A 19344-nucleotide genomic window follows, 5' to 3' on the forward strand; every position below is an offset into this window, starting at 1 on the left:
GAAAGAAAGGAAGAAAGGAAATAAATCAGTCAAATGTGGCTCCTGCATTCAGAGGAGGAGCACTCAGGGTTGCCTTCATGGAGAAGAGAAAGACTTCAAATGGGCTCTGTTTCCATTTATCCCAATAATGTTGAGGTAGTTTTTACAAAATTATTACAGAGTTGCTTAGTTCCCTCTTTACAGCTTATTTAGGTATGGAGAAGGAAGAAAAGGTATAATTTTAAAATTAATCACTCTCAGAAATCCCACCATTTGGATTGAGAATAACAAAAGCGAAATAGCCTTCTAGGAAGCTTGCTTTCAGTATAATCACTTTTTTTTTCTCACATTTTTGTGACACCACAGCTACCTTGGGTACATCTCTTCATATTACAGATGTAACTAAGTAAGAATAGGTAAAAGTACATGAAAATCTCCCAGCAGATGTAATGAATGCTCTTGTTATTGTTATCTGTGTAGTTTCCACAATTAGTTTATTGACTATTCCCATGACTATTTCTTTAATGATCTTGATATGACATTATATGACATTTAGGCTGTGGAGTCTCCAACTTGATAGTTTATTAAATGAAATAAAGGCCAGAAAATGTGATGTAATTTCCTGGCCAATAGATATAAACTCTTTGAGAGAAAGCACTAAATCAAATGTGCAAGAAATGTAATTTTATTTTATATAACTTGGCTTAATTTTTAACTTAGATTCTAACCTTCAATGAGTTGATGGGAGGGTAAAATGCACACAAAGTAAAACATAATCTCAGTTTCTCTGGAGTATCTTTCTTTTCTACCCCATCTTTGTCTTACAATGCCAAAGTGCATGCATGCTAGGTGAAAGGAAAGGCATTTGATCTTTGGTCATTGGTCCCCACAGGTTACTAGTCAGTATCTATTTTTCCTGCCCCTTCAAGTCCATTAGGCTTCTGCTGCTTGGGTGCTGAGCTCGGGATACAGAAATCTCTTCTAAGGCTCTGTGCAGTACTAGCTGTCTAGTCTTGCCATCTCCCAGGCATCTGGCTGGGAAGCAGGGTAAAATACCGTATGTGCTTCTTATGCTTTCAGAACCCACAAACCTCTCTAAGTTCTGCTTTCCTCCTCCAGAAAGAGAGAATGTCTTTTTAGATTGGGGTAAGGAACACTATTCTCACTGCCTCACTCTAAGGTACTTTATCTATGTCAACTAAAGCCAGAGCTACTCACAAGCCACTTCTGTTTTCTGTTCTGCCATGTGACTCTCCTGAGGCAATGCACTCTAAATCTCTGCTTCAGTGGGGGAAAGGCAAAGGGAGAAAGTGTGGAAGTTATTTTATTATTTTATTTAGCCATATACACATGTGTATATTCTTATTTTGTAGACATATTTGCATTGTGCATTTAAGGTATGCACTTAATGTTTATGCCCACAACTAATTTTGCAGATGTCCACAACCAATTTTGCAGTTTTAGTTACCAGGAAATCTATTTATTACCAAAAACCCTATCATGCACCTCTGTGGATTTAATGTGGCAGCATGGTTTTCTCTAAACTATAAGTTATAGATATTATCTAAGGTCCAAATAATGCTCATTGATATTTTTACTGATTTCTGCAGGGCTGAATGCTAAAGGAGCCATTCTGTATGCCTTTGAGATGTTCCGTCTCAAGTCCTGTGTGGATTTCAAGCCCTATGAAGGAGAGAGCTCATATATCATATTTCAACAGTTTGATGGGTTGGTATGAAATTTTACGGAGTGAAAATCATGCATACTTTGGTTCGTAAGAAGTATTCTTTCCCCGAGTCCCCAAAGTCCAATGTATCATTCTTTTGTCTTTGCGTCCTCATAACTTAGCTCCCACATATGAGTGAGAACATACAATGTTTGTTTTTTCCATTCCTGAGTTACTTCACTTAGAATAATGGTCTCCAACTCCATCCAGGTTGCTGTGAATGCCATTATTTTGTTCCTTTTTATGGCTGAGTAGTAATACATGGTGTGTGTGTGTGTATATATATATATATTTTACATATATTTTTTTTTCTTTATCACCTTGTTGATTGATGGGCATTTGGGCTGGTTCCATATTTTTTCAGTTGCAAATTGTGCTGCTATAAACATCCATGTGCAAGTATCTTTTTCGTATAATGACTTCTTTTCCTGTGGGTAGATACCTAGTAGTGGGATTGCTGGATCAAATGGTAGTTCTACTTTTAGTTCTTTAAGGAACCTCCACACTGTTTTCCATAGTCACTGTACTAGTTTACATTCCCACCCACAGTGTAAAAGTGTTCCCTTTTCACTGCATCCACACCAATATATATAATTTTTAAAAATTTTTTAATTATGGCCATTTCTGCAAGAGTAAGGTCGTATCACATTATAGTTTTGATTTGTGTTTCCCTGATAATTAGTAATGTTGAACATGTTTTCATATGCCTGTTGGCCATTTCTGTATCTTCTTTTGAGAATTGTCTATTCACATTCTTAGCCCAATTTTTGATGGGATTGTTTGTTTTTTTCTTGCTAATTTGTTTGGGTTATTTGTAGATTCCAGATATTCGTCCTTTGTTGGATGTATACATTGTGAAAATTTTCTCCCACTCTGTGGGTTGTCTGTTAACTCTGCTGATTATTTCTTTTGCCATGCAGAAGCTTTTGAGTTTAATTAAGTCCCACTGATTTATCTTTGTTTTTGTTGCATTTGCTTTTAGCTTCTTGTCATGAAGTCTTTGCCTACGCCAATGTCTAGAAGGGTTTTTCTGATTTTACCTTCTAGAATCTTTATGGGTTCAGGTCTTAGATTTAAGTCTTTGATCCATCTTGAGTTGATTTCTGTATAGGGTGAGAGAAGAGGCTCTAGTTTCATTCTTCTACATGTGGCTTGCCAATTATCCCAGCACCGTTTATTGAATAGGATGTCATTTCCCCACTTTATGTTTTTGTTTGTTTTGTTGAAGATCAGTTGGCTGTAAGTATTTGAGTTTATTTCTGGGTTCTCTATTCTGTTCCATTGGTCTATGTATCTATTTTTATACCAGTACTTTCCTGTTTTTGGTGACTATGGCCTTACAGTATAGTTTGAAGTTGGGTAACGTGATGACTCCAGATTTGTTCTTTTTACTTAGTCTTGTGTTGGCTATGTGGGTTCTTTTTTGGTTCCATGTGAATTTTAGGATGGTTTTTCCAGGTCTGTGAAGAATGATGGTGGTATTTTGATGGGAATTGTATAGAATTTGTAGATTGCTTTTGGCAATTGTGTTCACTTTCACAGTATGGATTCTACTCATCCATGAGCAAGGGATAGCTTTCCATTTGTTTGTGTCATCTATGATTTCTTTCAGCAGTGTTTTGTAGTTTTCCTTGCAGTGGTCTTTCAGTCTTTGGTTAGGTATATTCCTAAGTATTTTATTTTATATTTTGCAGCTATTGTGAAATGGGTTGAGTTCTTGATTTGATTCTTAGCTTGGACACTGTTGGTGTTTAGCAGAGCTACTGATTTGTGTAAATTAATTTTGTATCCTGAAATTTTGTTGATTTTATTTACCAGTTCTAGGAGCTTTTTGGATGAGTCTTTAGGGTTTTTTTAGGTATACAATCATATCATCAGCAAACAGTGATAATTTGACTTCCTGTTTACTGATTTGGATGCCCTTTATTTCTCTCTCTTGTCTGATTGCTTTGGCTAGGACTTCCAGTAGTATGTTGAATAGAAGTAGTAACAGAGGGCATCTTTGTCTTGTACCAGTTCTCAGGGGAAATGCTTTCAACTTTTTATCATTCACTATAAAGTTGACTGTGGATTTGTTGTAGATGGCTTTTATTACCTTAAGGTATGTCCTTTCTGTGCCAATTTTGCTGAGGTTTTTAATCATACAGGGATGGTGGACTTTGCCAAATGCTTTTTCTCCATCTATTAAGATGATTATGTGAATTTTGTTTTTAATTCTCTTTATGTGGTGTATCACATTTATTGATTTTGTATGTGAAACCATCCCTGCATCCCTGGTATGAAACCCACTTGATCATGTTGAATTATCTTTTTGATATGCTGTTGGATTCAGTTCATCAGTACATTATTGAGGATTTTTGCCTGTGTGTTCATCAGGGATATTGGTCTGTAGTTTTCTTTGTTTGTTATGTCCTTCCCTGGTTTGGGTATTAAGGAGATACTGGCTTCATAGAATGATTTAGGGAGGATTCCCTCTTTCTCTATCTTTTGGAATAGTGTCACTAGGATTGGTACCAATTCTTCTTTGAATGTCTTGTATAATTCATCTCTGAATCCATCTGGTCCTGGACTTTTTTTTGTTGGCAATTTTTGAATTGCCATTTCAATCTCACTACTTGTTATTTGTCTGTTAAGAGATTCTATATATTCCTGGTTTAATCTAGGAGGGTTGTATATTTCCAGGAATTTATCCATCTCTTCTAGGTTTTCTAATTTATGCACATAAAGGTGTTCAAAGTAGCCTTGAATAATCTTTCATATTTCTGTGGTATCAGTTGTAATAGCTCCCATTTTGTTTCTAATTGAGCTTATTGGGATCTTCTGTCTTCTTTTCTTGGTTAATCTCACTAATAATCTATCAATTTTATTTATTTTTTCAAAGAACCAGATTTTTGTTTCATTTGTCTTTTGTATTTTTTTATTCCGTTTCATTTAGTTGTGCTCTGATATTTGTTGTTTCTTTTCTTATGCTGGGTTTGGATTTGGATTGTTCTTGTTTCTCCAATTCTGTGTGGTGTAACCTTAGATTGTCTATTTGTGCTCTTTCAGACTTTTTGGTGTCATTTAATTCTATGAACTTTCCTCTTAGCACTGCTTTTGCTATATCCCAGAGGTTTTGATAGGTTGTGTCACTATTATCATTCAGTCCAAAATTTTTTTTTAATTTCCATCTTGATTTCATTGTTGACCCAGTGATCATTCAGGGGCAGGTTATTTAATTTCCATGCATTTGCATGGTTTTGAGGGTTCTTTTTGGAGTGATTTCCAATTCTGTTTGACTGTGGTCTGAGAGTGTACTTGATATAATTTTGATTTTCTTATATTTACTGAGACTTGTTTTGTGGTCTATCATATGGCCTAACTTGGAGAATGTTCCATGTGCTGGTAACTATAATGTATATTCTGCAATTGTTGGGTAGAATGTTCTGTAAATATCTGTTAAGTCCATTTGTTTTAGGGTATAGTTAAAGTCCATTGTTTCTTTGTTGACTTTCTGTCTTGATGACCTGTCTAGTGCCGTCAGTGAGTATTAAAGTCCCCCACTGTTATTGTGTTGCCATCCACCTCATTTCTTAGGTCTAGTAGTAACAGTTTTATAAATTGAGGGTCTCCAGAATTAGGTAAATATATTTTTAGAATATCTTTCCACTCCTTTACCTTAAGTTTATGTGAGTCCTTATGTGTTATGTGAGGCCTCAAAACCATGCAAATACGTGGAAATTAAATAACCTGCTGCTGAGTAATCATTGGGTCAACCATGAAATCAAGACGGAAATATAAAAATTATTTGAACTGAATGATAATAGTGACACAACCTATCAAAACCTCTGGGATACAGCAAAAAGCAAAAGTGGTGCTAAGAGGAAAGTTCCACAGCATTAAATGCCTACATCAAAAGTCTGAAAGAGTACAAATAGACAATTCTGAAGACAGCAGAAACTTGGTTGGTGAATTCTTATTCATTCTGCTATTCTGTATCTTTTTAAGTGGAGAATTTAGGGCATTTACATTCACTGTTATTATTGGGGTGTGAGGTACTATTCTATACATTGTGCAATTTGTTGCTTGAATATCTTGGTTTTTTTTCACTGTGTTATTGTTATATAGGTTCTGTAAGATTTATGCTTTAAGGAGTTCTATTTTGGTATATTTTGAGGATTTGTTTCAAGATTTAGAGCTCCTTTTAGCAGTTCTTGTAGTACTGGCTTGGTAGTGGCAAATTCTCTCAGCATTTATTTGTTTGAAAAAGACTGTATCTTTCCTTCGTTTATTAAGCTTAGTTTCACCAGATACTAAATTCTTGACTAATAATTGTTTTGTTTAAGGAGGTTAAAAATAGGACCCCAATGCCTTCTAGCTTGTAGGGTTTCTGCTGAGAAATCTGCTGTTAATCTGATAGGTTTTCCTTTATGAGTTACCTGATGCTTTTGCTTCACAGCTCTTAAGATTCTTTCCTTTGTCTTGATTTGAGATAACCTGATGACTGTGTGCCTAGGCGATGATCTTTTTGAGATGCATTTCCCAGGTGTTCTTTGAGATTCTTATATTTGGATGTCTAGATCTCTAGCAAGGCTGGGGAAGTTTTCCTCAATTATTCCCTCAAATACGTTTTCCAAATATTTGGATTTCTCCTTCTTCTGGTACACCAATTATTCTTAGGTTTGGATGTTTAACATAGTCCAAACTTCTTCGAAGCTTTGTTCATTTAAAAAATTTTTTTGTTTGTTTTTGATGGATGGGGTTAATTCAAAAGCCTTGCCTTTGAGCACTAAGATTCTTTCTTCTGCTTGTTCGATTCTATTGCTGAGACTTTCCAGTGCATTTTGCATTTCTCTAAGTATGTCCTTGATTTCCAGAAGTTGTGATTGTTTTTTATTTATGCTATCTATTTCACTGAAGATTTTTCCTTTCATATTCTCATCATGTTTTTGATTTCTTTAAGTTGGACTTTACCTTTCTCTGGTGCCTCCTTGATTGGCTTAATAACTGACCTTCAAAATTCTTTTTCTGGCAATTCAGAGATTTTGTCTTCATTTGGCTCCATTGCGGTGCACTGACATGATCTTTTGGCAGTGTTAAAGAATCTTGTTTTGACATATCACCAGAATTGTTTTTCTGGTCCCTTCTCATTTGGGTAGACTGTGTCAGAGGGAAGATCTGGAATTCAAGGGCTGTTTTTCAGATTTTTTTGTCCCACAGGGTGCTCCCTTGATGTGGTGTTCTCCCCCTTCCCCTAGGAATGGGGCTTCTTGAGAGCTGAACTGTAGTGATTGTTTTTGCTCTTCTGGATCTAGCCACCCAGCAGAGCTACTGGGCTCTGGGCTGGTACTGAGGAGTACAAAGAGTCTGGTGATGTGATTTGTCTTCAGGTCTTGCAGCTATGGACACCAGCACCTGCTCCAGTGGAGGTAGCATGGGAATGAAGTGGACTCTGTGAAGGTCCTTGGTTGTGTTTTTGTTTAGTGTGCTGGTTTTGTGTTGGCAATCCTCCAGCCAGGAGGTGGCACTTTCAAGAGTGCATCAGCTACGGTCCTATAGGGAGGATGCAAACCTGCCCTAGGGACACCTGGTTAAGTATTCAGGTTTCTCAGCTGGTGGGCAAGGCCATAGAGCTCTCAAGAGATTCTGACCTTTGTCTTTGGCTACCAGGGCAGGTAGAGAAAGATCACCAGGTTGGAGCAGGGATAGGCATGTCTGAGCTCAGCCTCTCCTTGGGCAGGGCTTGCTGTGGCTGTTGTGGGGAATGGGGGTGTGGTTTCCAGTCCAGTGGAGTTATACTCCAGGAGGGATTATGGCTGCCTCTGCTGAGTCATACAGGTTGCCAAGGAAGTGGGGAAAAGCCTGCAGCCACAGGCCTCACCCTGCTCCCATGCAGCCCGCAGTCCTAAAGGCTGGGCTTATTCCCACCTTGCCCCTTCAACAGCACTGAGTCCATTTCCAGTCGTCTGGTGACCAAGGTTGAGAACTTGTCCCGGACCACGAGCCTCCTTGTTGAGAAAGCAAGCAGACTCACAGGTTTTCAGCATCTCAGGCAACCTGCAGTTGTGATCCAGTTCCTTCAAAGGGTCTATGGATTGTCTTGGCTTTCCTGGTATGTTCCTGCAGTAGTTCTCGGAGCAAAAATTCATGATGTGAGTCTCCCTACACTGCTCTGTCCAGGCAGCTGCAAGCTAATCCTGCCTCTCATCCCCCATCTTAATCCTGAGTCCTGACCGTGGGGTTTTGATAATGATGGATGGATAGTATGATGAAAATGGTAGTTAGCACATGATTTAGCCTCTTAGGAAAAAAAATGCAAAAAATAGCAGTTAAATAAAAGAAAAATACTGACAACTACTTAGATACAAATTAAATACCTAACTTACCTGAGTAGTTACTTTTGGAGCTTATTCATTTATTTATTTATTTATTATTTTTTTGAGACAGAGTCTCTCTCTGTCAGCCAGGCTGGAGTACAGTGGCATGATCTCGGCTCACTGGAACCTCCATCTCCCGGGCTCAAGCAATTCTCCTGCCTCAGCCTCTTGAGTAGCTGGGATCACAGGCGTGTGCCACCATGCTTGGCTAATTTTTGTATTTTTAGTAGAGATGGGGGTTTCACCATGTTGGCCAGGCTGGTCTTGAACTCCTGACCTCAGGTAATCGGCCCACCTCAACCTCCGAAAGTGCTGGGATTACAGGCGTGAGCCACCATTACAGGCATGAGCCACCGCGCCCGGCCTCATTCTTCTATTTTTAAAAAAATTGCACACCTACTACATTCCAGGAAGTGTGCTAGACTGTAGGTGCAACAAAATATGCAATACGGTCTTAGCCCTCAGCAGGCTTACAGTTACCAGGTGGGGGTGGTGGAGAAATGAGTATATTGTCTTAATACATGACAATGAGTGTCCTGGGTTGCAGCAGGGCAAGAGTGGGGCCACTGAGAAAGTGTGGGATGAAGCATCAGGGAGAGTTGAGATGAGTGTTAGAGAGAAGAAGGGAGGACAAATCAGAGGCAGGAAGAGGGAGAGAGGGAAAGGGTGAGGAGGAGAAGGAGGAAGAAGAAGGGGAGGAGGGGATCAAAGGGAAGAAGAGGGAGAGGGAGAGGGTGAGGAGAGAGCAAACATGAACCTGAACCTGGTTACTTGGAGAACCCCCTAAGTTCAGTGCCTGGAGCTTTTCATGTCAGGAGCTTTTCATGGACTCAGTGCTGTTGAAGGGGCACAGTGGGAATAAGCCCAGCCTTTAGGACTGCGGGCTGCATGGGAACAGGTTGAGGCCTGTGACTGTAGGCTTTTCCCCACTTCCTTGGCAACCTGTATGACTCAGCAGGGGCAGCCATAATCCCATAATGAGCAAGAGCCAGGAAGGTGAGCAGGAGCCTGGTGATGGAGAGCCATGTGTGAGGGAACCTATTGTTTGGTGCAAGGTTCATTCTATGCTCAGTTTTCCACTGTAGAAAGATGACTTGATCAACAGTGGATAAAGAATTGAAATAGAGCAAGACTGGTGGCAAGAGATCAATTAACAGATGCTCCAGTTTTCTAGGGGAAAAATGGAAGGTACCTACACCAAGGAAGAGGCAGGTGATATAAAGAAGAGGGAATGGATTTCAGAAATCTGTGAAAAAGTGTATTTATCAGAACCTAACCTTATCAAATTGGTTAGTGGGAGGAGGGGTTAGGAAAGGAGAGGAGTCAAAAGTATCTGAGATTTCAGATTTGGATGACTGGCAAGTGGTAACTTCATTTGCTGAGGCTGGGAATATTGCTGAAAGAATAACTTTGGGGATGAGGTAGGAGAGTAAACTCATCTTACTGCATGTGTTTTATTGCTTGAGGTTTTTGCAGGTCATATAAATGGAGATAACCAATAGTAGTTAGATAGTTTATTTTTCTGTAAAGGGGAAACATTTAAAGTATATCTCAGGCCTTGCAAAGACCACACATTTTAGGGCCTCTCTGCTTTTGACTACTGCATTTTGTCCCTTGGCAATCTCTGACCTTCAAGGAAGTGCTAAAACCCTTAATTTTTCATTGAAAACGTCAGAGAAACAATTAACTTTATTAACAAATTTATTTCCATTCTTCAGCTACCACTTTTGCATCATTCTTTTTTCACAAAGAAACTCCTTAAAAATAAAACAAAATCCACATAATTACTTTCCAAAATTCTCACTTTCACAGTGAAGTTCTCCCAACTTCTTTTTTTGTTTTCAAGTGAGTCCCAACTACTTGATTAAGGGGTAGGTCAGCTTTGAGAGACATTCTTTGTAAAAGCACTGAATCTGGGAAACCTAATCACCTATGGCCAGGAGATGTCTCTGTTACAGATAATTTAAGAGAGGGAAAAAGAGAGGAAGATATTTTGGGAAGGGACTGGCCCAAAGTGCCCCTAAGCCCTTCAGGGCACTGGTCTCCTGAAGTTGGAGGCTAACTGGGACTCTTTCAGAAAGACAAGGTCAAAAGTTCTCAGTGAGGTGGAATGTATGGTATTTTTGCAACTTATGTCTTTCTGTTGGGGGAGGAATTTAAAAAGAAAGATGAATAATAAATGCTTTCTCTGAGTTGTGAATATTTTGCAGAGTAAACTCTGATTTGGTAATAAAATGCCACTATCAGAGAGGCAAGTTGATCATGGTTACATTTGCATAACACTGTAAATTTACTAAAAGTCATTGAATTGTATACTTAAAATTAAAGAATTTTATAGTATATAAATTATACCTTAATAAAGTTATTAGAAAATAAATAACTAAGATTCATCTTTGAGTAAAAATCAAATCTGTTAGCCTTTGAAGGTATACTGTGTCAGTAGTCTTGGGGAGAACATTGGCAGGTAAGACACTGTGACTGTCACCATGAAACTTGCAATCCATTGGTTGCATTTATGACTATCAGGAAATCTTTCTTTTCTGCTCAGCATTGGGTAAAATATAGATCTTCATTTGACAATTTAAAGCCAATAGGAGACAATTTGTGGAAAGCTTTGGGTTTGCTAATAGAGGTGAAAAATTGGGTTTATGAGAAGAGAAAAAATAATTGGGGGGAGAATGAAAGAGGAAGACATTCTACCGTAAGGAATTCAGGGAATCTGACAGAGGTTCCCGAGCCCACTGATTTCAGAGGGACGCTACAGGTCCTCCTTGCCTGATACCCTTCAGAAATAAGTTAGGCAGCCTTCTCTGTGCTGTCATAACACTGTAGATCTGCTATTTCCGAAGACATGGATTTTATTAATTTGCTTTTTAATGAGGATCTTTTTATGATCATAAAATATATGCTTGTTCATTATAGGAACTTTGAAAATTTATTAAAGTATAAAAGGGCTAGGTGCGATGGCTCACACCTGTAATCCTAGCATTTTGGGAGGTCAAGGAGGGCAAATCGTTTGAGCCCAGGAGTTTGAGACCAGGCTGGGCAACATGGCAAAACCCTGTCTCTACAAAAAAATAAAAACATTATCTGCCTGTGGTTCCAAGTCCCAGCCTCTCAGGAGGCTGAGGTGGGAAGATCACCTGAGTAGAGGAGGCTGAGGCTGCTGTGAGCTGTGATTGTGGCACTGCACAGCAACCTGAGTGATAAAGTGAGACCCCCAATCTCAAAAAAATTAAATCAACCACAGCTTTCCCTCAGACAACAATTTTTTAGATAAAGGCAACAGTGTTATTCTTTGGAGTGCCCTGTGGGTTTGTGGAGGTGAGAAGGAATGCCAATGTTTATTGCTTTCTACCTTGACGAATTGTTATAATAGGATTGATTTGCTTCTGAGTATGTGCCACTTTTATAATGTATTATATCTTCACTTTTAAAGCCTGCACAGTATTCCCTCTAGGGAATGCTCCTTCTTTAAGCAGTCCCCATCTTTGGACCATTAGCATATGAGAATGCTGTTGGTAATTTCTTTCTAAAATCAAGCCTAATTTCCTCCTAATTTGTGTTTTGGAGTACTGTGAATGACAGCCACTTAAAAATTCTCTAGAAGAAATTTTTCCTCTTCTCCTCTTTAAAGGTGCTGGTCTGAGGTTGGTGACCAACATGTGGGACAGAACATTTCCATTGGCCAAGGATGTGCCTATAAGGCCATCATAGAACACGAGATCCTGCATGCTTTGGGATTTTACCACGAGCAGTCAAGGACGGACCGGGATGATTATGTGAACATCTGGTGGGACCAAATTCTTTCAGGTGTGATTGGGCGGAGATTGCTATCACATTTATCACTGGCTGAGACCAATCCTGAGATGACCAAGCCAAATCTGTGTGGACAGGAGCTTCAGCCTCTCTAGTGGGAAGAAAGACTCTGAAGAGGTTATGATTTGTTGGCCCTTTATGTGGGCTGTGCTGGTCTGACCGGAATTCATCGCAGATAAGGGCCTCAAGGAATGGTGTTAACTCACTGTGGGGGTCAACTGAAAGTTAACCAGAAGCTTTGCTTTATATCAGTGTTTTCATTAAAACTCTATCTAAAACTCTACTTTCCTGTCTTACTGAGGAAAGTGAATCCAGATTTTAAAGTCATTTCTCTGGATGTGAAATCTCCTGTGCCTCTAGAAGGCTGTTTGAGGTTTAGTTGATTATTCCATGACTATAGGGCATACTCAAGAAGTATTTTTTCCAGTTGCTTTACCAAATCAATAAAAAATGTTTAAAAACAAAAACAAAAATAAATGCTTTTATCTGAAATAACACCCCAATTATGTTAATTCTAGCTAGTTATCTGGGTTCTGATTAATCAAAGGTGAATGTTTTTTTCTTCCTTGTTTCTAAGCACCTTGCTTCTTCTGCCTCCACCTCATACAATGCAAAATACAACAGTTTTGTCTTACGTATTATTCCGTTGTATTATTTTAACTATTTCATTGTTCTTTAGGTTGTTTTGTTTTGTTTTGAGACAGAGTTTTGCTCTTGTGGCCCAGGCTGGAGTGCAATGGTGCGATCTCAGCTCACTGCAACCTCTGCCTCCTGAGTTCAAGCGATTCTCCTGCCTCAGGGAGGCAGATGGGATTATAGGTGTGTGTCACCATGCCTGGCTAATTCTGTATTTTTTAAGTAGAGATGGGATTTCATCATGTTGGTTAGGCTGGTCTTGAACTCCTGACCTCAGGTGATCGGCCTGCCTTGGCCTCCCAAAGTGCTGGGATTACAGGCATGAGCCACCACCGTGTCCGGCCCTTACTTTCCTTAATTGTTTGAGACAATGAAGTAGAGTGCTTTTGAGTACACTAAAACATTTATTGAGCAGCTTCCTGATGTGGTAGAAAAAAAAAAAGTCAATGCTGTGTTTCTGAAGATACCTAGTTTTTAAGAAGGAATTAGTGAAGAGAATGCAAAAACATTGTTTTTGGCAGTAAGAGATTAATGAAACTTTAATATATTTAAAATGCCTTAACTGTTTCCGGCATGGCTTTTATAAAACAAATAATAGCCTTGTGTAGGTATCTGTTTTATTTAGATCCCAATTTTATATGCGGATTCATATATTGCAGTGCATCTATAATAATTTTACTTTTGGGGGCTTGGAAGAACTGACCAAGCTTTATAATTAAATATGAATCCTCAAAAGTTTTCTGCCAGGACTGTAGTAGTTCATTTTGGAGTAAGATGGTCAATGATTTTCACATGAGATGAGGGTAGAGAGGGCTAATCAAAATCACCTGTGAGGTTTCTCATCCTGTGCCTTCTCAGTCTCTTATATTCTGGTAATTCTATGAATGTGGATTGGTGTAGTAAGGAAGAAAACTGTAACTTATAATAGTCTAATAGGTCACCAGCTTTGAGCCTAACCACATACTCCGACCATCTTACCACCACCCACTGAACCAGAGGCCAGATAGCACTCTTCTTTGCCTCCCAGTCCAATCCAGAAAAGTTTTGGAGCATATTCACCCAGAGATGAAATAATAACTCAGACTTCATGTACCTATCTCTCAGTAGTAATTGTGTTATAACTGTGTGTGTGTGTAGAAGGAAGAAGGAAATGGAGTAATAGGTCAAAGGACTGAATCTCTGATTGCACTACTCAGGGGACTATTAGACTTTGTCTATATTTGCCTGTAAGCCTCAATTTCTTACCTTCCTGTACATATACTGGGCTTTGATGAAAATGTTGTAAGGAAGCAGAAAACATTTCTATTTCCAAGTCTTATAGAATACAATACTTAATGCTTTTAAAATGGTTTTAGGCCAAATGAGGTTCCCTTTATCGGAGTGAGGGACATTTGCCAGGGTCAAGTGCAGACTTGCTCAGCTCTGGTTTGAGCACGGGTTGCTCAACACATATTTGCTCATCTCCTATCTGTGTTTTCATCAGGTACAATTCCGTATATCTAAATTGCCTGCAACCACGGGAGAACTGTTCTCAAAAGAGACATCAAATCCAATAAGATTATCAACATAGGCAGTATTTTTTATCAGGGTAATTTGTGAGTTTTATTGATTTAACTTTGGTCAATAACAAGCTTTCTGTTTAACTTAAGAAGACACTGTACTGGCAATGTAATTCTCTCCCAATGTCCATCTCCATTTCTTGAATCAGAATTGTGTTTTTGAAATTTCTTTCCTTATGCTAGGGAAAAAACTCAACTTTTGAGGTCTAGCAGGGGTTGACAAACTATAGTCCATGGGCCATATCTACTTGCTTTTGTAAATAAAGCTTTATGGAAACACAATCATAACCATTTGTTTAAGTATTGTATATGGCTGTTTTCGTGCTACAATGGCAGAGTTGAGTAGTTACAACAGAGAACATATTTTCTATCTACTCTAGAACAGGTTTGCTGACTGATCCCTGGTTTACAGGATCGCATGCCCTGGATTACAGCCCCTTTTCAAGTCTCAGCTGTGAGTCCCTATCCTATTCACTGTTGGGGGCACTACCAACCTAGCACAGCTCTTAGTAGACACTAGGCCCAACAAAAACATGTTGAATACATTTTCAAATATTATTCAAAATATATGTTTGTTAAGTATTCTCATAAGAATCCATGAGTAACACAGATTAAAATAATCTATTCTAACCTGATGGGATTTTTGTTTTTGTTTTGAGACAGAGCCTTGCTCTGTCTTCCAGGCTGGAGTGCAACGGTGCAATCTCAGCTCACTACAACCTCCACCTCCTGGGTTCAAGCGATTCTCATGCCTCAGCCTCCTGAATAGCTGGGATGACTGGCGTCCACCACCATGCCCAGCTAATTTTTGTATTTTTTAGTAGAGATGGGGTTTCACCATGTGGACCAGGCTGGTCTCGAACTCCTGGCCTCAAGTGATTCACCTGCCTCAGCCTCCCAAAGTGCTGGGATTACAGGTGTGAACCACCGTGCCCAGCCTCTAATCAGATGGTTTTATGGAAAATTAAGTAAAGCACATCCAGTGAGTTGAAAGTGCTTTGCTTCAGGTGCCACTGAGAGTTACCAAGAGATTGTAGACTCTTATGCTCTTTAAAATTCCATTACCTCAAATGACATCCTAGGACCAAGTACTCTGGAGGGATTAACTTTCCCCTTCCCTGTTAGAGCCATTGTTTCTTTTAGACTTGTCCCACCTTCAAAAATGCTTTGATCCCTCTCAAGTAATCCCCAATATAATCCCCATGATTTGGGAGAATGAAACATCAGTATTCAGATTTTACAGTTAAAGCAAGATATTGCTCAAACATGGTCTTGCTCCTTAGCTTTTCCAAAAGCATTCAGAGACTCCCTCAGGCACCTGCTGGAGCATCGCCTGGCCACACCACACTTCTGCAGTCCTGCATATAGCTCTGTATGAGGCAGTTACATTTTCTTCTCTCTAATTGTTCAAAGTAACTGGATGAGGCCAGGCACGGTGGCTCATGCCTATAATCCCAGCACTTTGAGAGGCCGATGCAGGCAGATCACCTGAGGTCAGGGGTTTGAGACCAGCCTGGCCAATGTGGTGAAACCTCATCTCTACTAAAAATTAAACAATTAGCCAGGCGTGGTGCCACGTGCCTGTAATCCCAGCTACTCAGGAGGCTGAGGCAGGAGAATTGTTTGAACCCAGGAGGCAGAGGTTGCAGTGAGCTGAGATCTTGCCATTGCACACCAGCCTGGGCAACAGAGCAAAAACTCCGTCTCAAAACTAAACAAGTAAACAAACAAAAAGTGACTGGACAAGGAGCTAGAGAAGGAGAATACGAGGATGGGAAGTTATGACTGGAAGAGTTAGCTGCATTTGCATTCAGTTTTCCTATCACTCCACAAGAAGAAAATCAAAAAAATCTGCAAACCTTTCCATTAATGCAGCCCAAACAGTAAATTCCCGATGGTTATTAGTCAATTCAAAGACCCTCTGATCAGTTATTTTGTTCAGCTTTTTACATTGCAGCACATCTTATCTCACTTTCACTAATCTCAGAAAAATATTTACCTTTCCTCTTTTGATAGGAAAATAAGTTTTCTTCTTCCTATTTTATTTTTGTTCTCCATGAGGCTATTTCTGAAACAGAAGGATGTGAGCCTTGATTGGCAGGATCCCCTGTCTTGCTTTCAGCTGCTTACCTTTCCCTCTGCCCCTCAGATTTCCTTCTCCTAACCCATGAAGAGTAGGCCAGGTACAGCTCTGGGCAGACTCAGTGTATGAGGTACTTGGCTGTTAGAACGATGTGTCTTGAACATAATTGATTGTGAACATTTTCCTGAATTCAAAAATTATTTTTCCTGTCATTTGGAATACCTTCCTCAGCTTTGCTATTTTACCTTCTCTTTCTGAAAGTCTTACACACACGTACACACACACCCAGATACACACGTATTTATATATATTTATAATGTATCTTTGGTGTAAACATGTACATGTATTTAGTCATTTCTAATATTTATTTAAATTTACAATATGTATTTTATAGTTATTACAATATTATATATGTTATTGTATATTAATATATTAACTAATATTAATAATGATTCATAGTAATTTTACATTATATTGCTTATAAAATATAATTTATATTTAAATAAATCTATTTAAATAAATCTATTTAAATATATATAAATTATCATCTATTTAATATATAAATTATATATTAAATAGATGTATTTAAATATATAAATTATATATATTAAATAGATGTATTTAAATATATATAAATTATATATTTAAATAAATGTATTTAAATTTATATAATGTATTTAAATAGATGTATTTAAATATATATAAATTATGTATTTAAATAGATGTATTTAAATATATATAAATTATGTATTTAAATAGATGTATTTAAATATATATAAATTATGTATTTAAATAGATGTATTTAAATATATATAAATGATGTATTTAATTAGATGTATTTAAATATATATAAATTATATATATAAATTATATATTTAAATAGATCTATTTAAATATATATAAATTATATATATAAATTATATATTTAAATAGATCTATTTAAATATATATAAATTATATATTTAAATAGATCTATTTAAATATATATAAATTATATATTTAAATAGATCTATTTAAGTATATATAAATTATATATTTAAATAGATCTATTTAAATATTTATAAATTATGTATTTAAATAAATCTATTTAAATATTTATAAATTATGTATTTAAATAAATCTATTTAAATATTTATAAATTATGTATTTAAATAAATCTATTTAATATATATATTTAAATAGAACTATTTCCCTTTTTTGGAGGGTCTCTGGGTATCTAGTCAAAGAGTAGCATGGGGAAAATAACATGACTGAGAAGGACCTGTGGATTCTCTCCCTAACAGGTTACCAGCACAACTTTGACACCTATGATGATAGCTTAATCACAGACCTCAATACACCCTATGATTATGAGTCTTTGATGCACTACCAGCCTTTCTCATTTAACAAGAATGCAAGTGTTCCCACCATCACAGCCAAGATCCCTGAGTTTAACTCCATTATCGGACAGCGCCTGGATTTCAGTGCCATTGATTTAGAGAGGCTGAACCGAATGTACAATTGCAGTGAGTATCTCAGTTTCTGAGAACTTGGTAAACTAGCCTCAGCAGAGATTCCATCAGCCTTAGAGATTTCCTTTACATTTTCCTTTACTCTTCTTTAATGTACTAGCTAAAAGAATAAGAACAAACTGCGTAACTTTTGTTGGTCTACCTCTAGACCCATTTGTTTAAGTATTGTCTATGGCTGTTTTTGCGCTTCAATGGCAGAGTTGAGTAGTTAAAAACAAAAAACAAACAAAACTATAACAGCAACCTTACAGGATGGTTATAAAAACCAATTATGTAGTTATGTTTTATAAAGTCAAAGTACTGGACAAACGTAAGGAGATGTTATTGTCTAGCTTCTTTTGCTTCTTTTGGAGGGTGCATTATTACGTAAAGGTCAAAATAGGTGATGGACTTGAAAGCATTTTGTATCCTGTAAAATTCTTTACTTACGTTAGTTATTCCTAGAGTAATCTAATCCTCTGGGGCAGGGTGTTTTCTAAAGATGATCCCCCTAGCCTTTAGAGATAAAATGTTTGATTCTGTTCAATAAGTATGTACAAAAGACCTACTAAGTACAAAGCCAAATATTATAGGTATCTTGTTCTTGATCTAAAGGAGTTTATGGTTGGTATTTACATGGCAGAGAATGATTATAGTTTTTTTTATCTTGACTCTGTGAGGTAGGTAGGGCTGTGTCTATATATTAGCAAGTACTAAGATCTGATGACAGTAAGATTTGCATTTGAGAAAAAGTCAAGATAACAAGCTTGTGATCCTGTCATATCTGAACAATGAGGTTTTAGTGGCTTAAGACATTAGCTATTTGGAATGACTATCTTTCATTTTTAACCAGATGATAAAAATATAATTTGCAGCCACAACTCACACTCTTTTGGACCACTGTACTTTTGAGAAGGCAAACATCTGTGGAATGATTCAGGGCACCAGAGATGACACTGACTGGGCCCATCAGGACAGTGCTCAGGCTGGAGAAGTGGATCACACCTTGTTGGGACAATGCACAGGTCAGTGAAAGTGGAAAGCAAACACATTGATGTGGTTCACCAGGTTCAATTAGGTTATGCCAGCCACCATGTTTTGCCTCAGTCAGAATGTTAGTTATCAAACTTGAAAATCTGAACAAGGACAAAAAACATTTCTTATATCTTCATTATTAACTCAGTAAAAAGCATCCAGTCTCTGGGCACACAAAAGAAAGATGCATTTAAGCAAAACTGATATTAGTATATGATTGATAAGATAAAACCTCATAAATAAAGGCAATGTCTCTAGAACCACACCCTCCTACAGAAATATAATGTGAGTCACATATGTAATGTAGAATTTTCTAGTGTCCACATGAATCTGGCTCTGTGGCACAATGGATAACACATGGGACTTTTAATACCTCATGAAAAAGTAAAAGAAAACCGTGAAATTAATTGTAATAATGTATTTTTTAACTCAATATATCCAAATAGTAGCATTTCAACATGTAATCAAAATAAAAGTTATTATGAGATGCTTCACATTTTTCAGGCTAAGTATTTTAAACTTGACACATATTTTACTCCTACAGTACATCTCAGTTTGCACTGGCCACAATTCAAGCACTCAATAGCCACATAGGTTTGGTAGCCACTGTATTGGATAGCATAGCTTCAGATACTTCCTATATATGGTGTAGTGAAAAAGA

At 37.6% G+C, this 19344-nt stretch overlaps 1 protein-coding gene across 3 annotated transcripts in view; it reads left to right on the plus strand.

The window, feature by feature from the left end:
• The window catches only part of MEP1A (meprin A subunit alpha), a 52596-nt gene that overhangs the window by 14442 nt on the left and 18810 nt on the right, over positions 1–19344 (plus strand). For all 3 annotated transcript variants that reach the window (XM_011514629.3, XM_011514628.2, NM_005588.3), the window contains 4 exons: positions 1590–1707; positions 11699–11874; positions 17442–17663; positions 18524–18673. In XM_011514629.3, coding sequence (XP_011512931.1) covers positions 1590–1707; positions 11699–11874; positions 17442–17663; positions 18524–18673 — 666 coding nt within the window. The remainder of the gene's footprint in view (positions 1–1589; positions 1708–11698; positions 11875–17441; positions 17664–18523; positions 18674–19344) is intronic.

The sequence above is a fragment of the Homo sapiens genome, chromosome 6 (genome assembly GCF_000001405.40).
Source record: "Homo sapiens chromosome 6, GRCh38.p14 Primary Assembly".
NCBI lineage: Eukaryota > Metazoa > Chordata > Mammalia > Primates > Hominidae > Homo > Homo sapiens.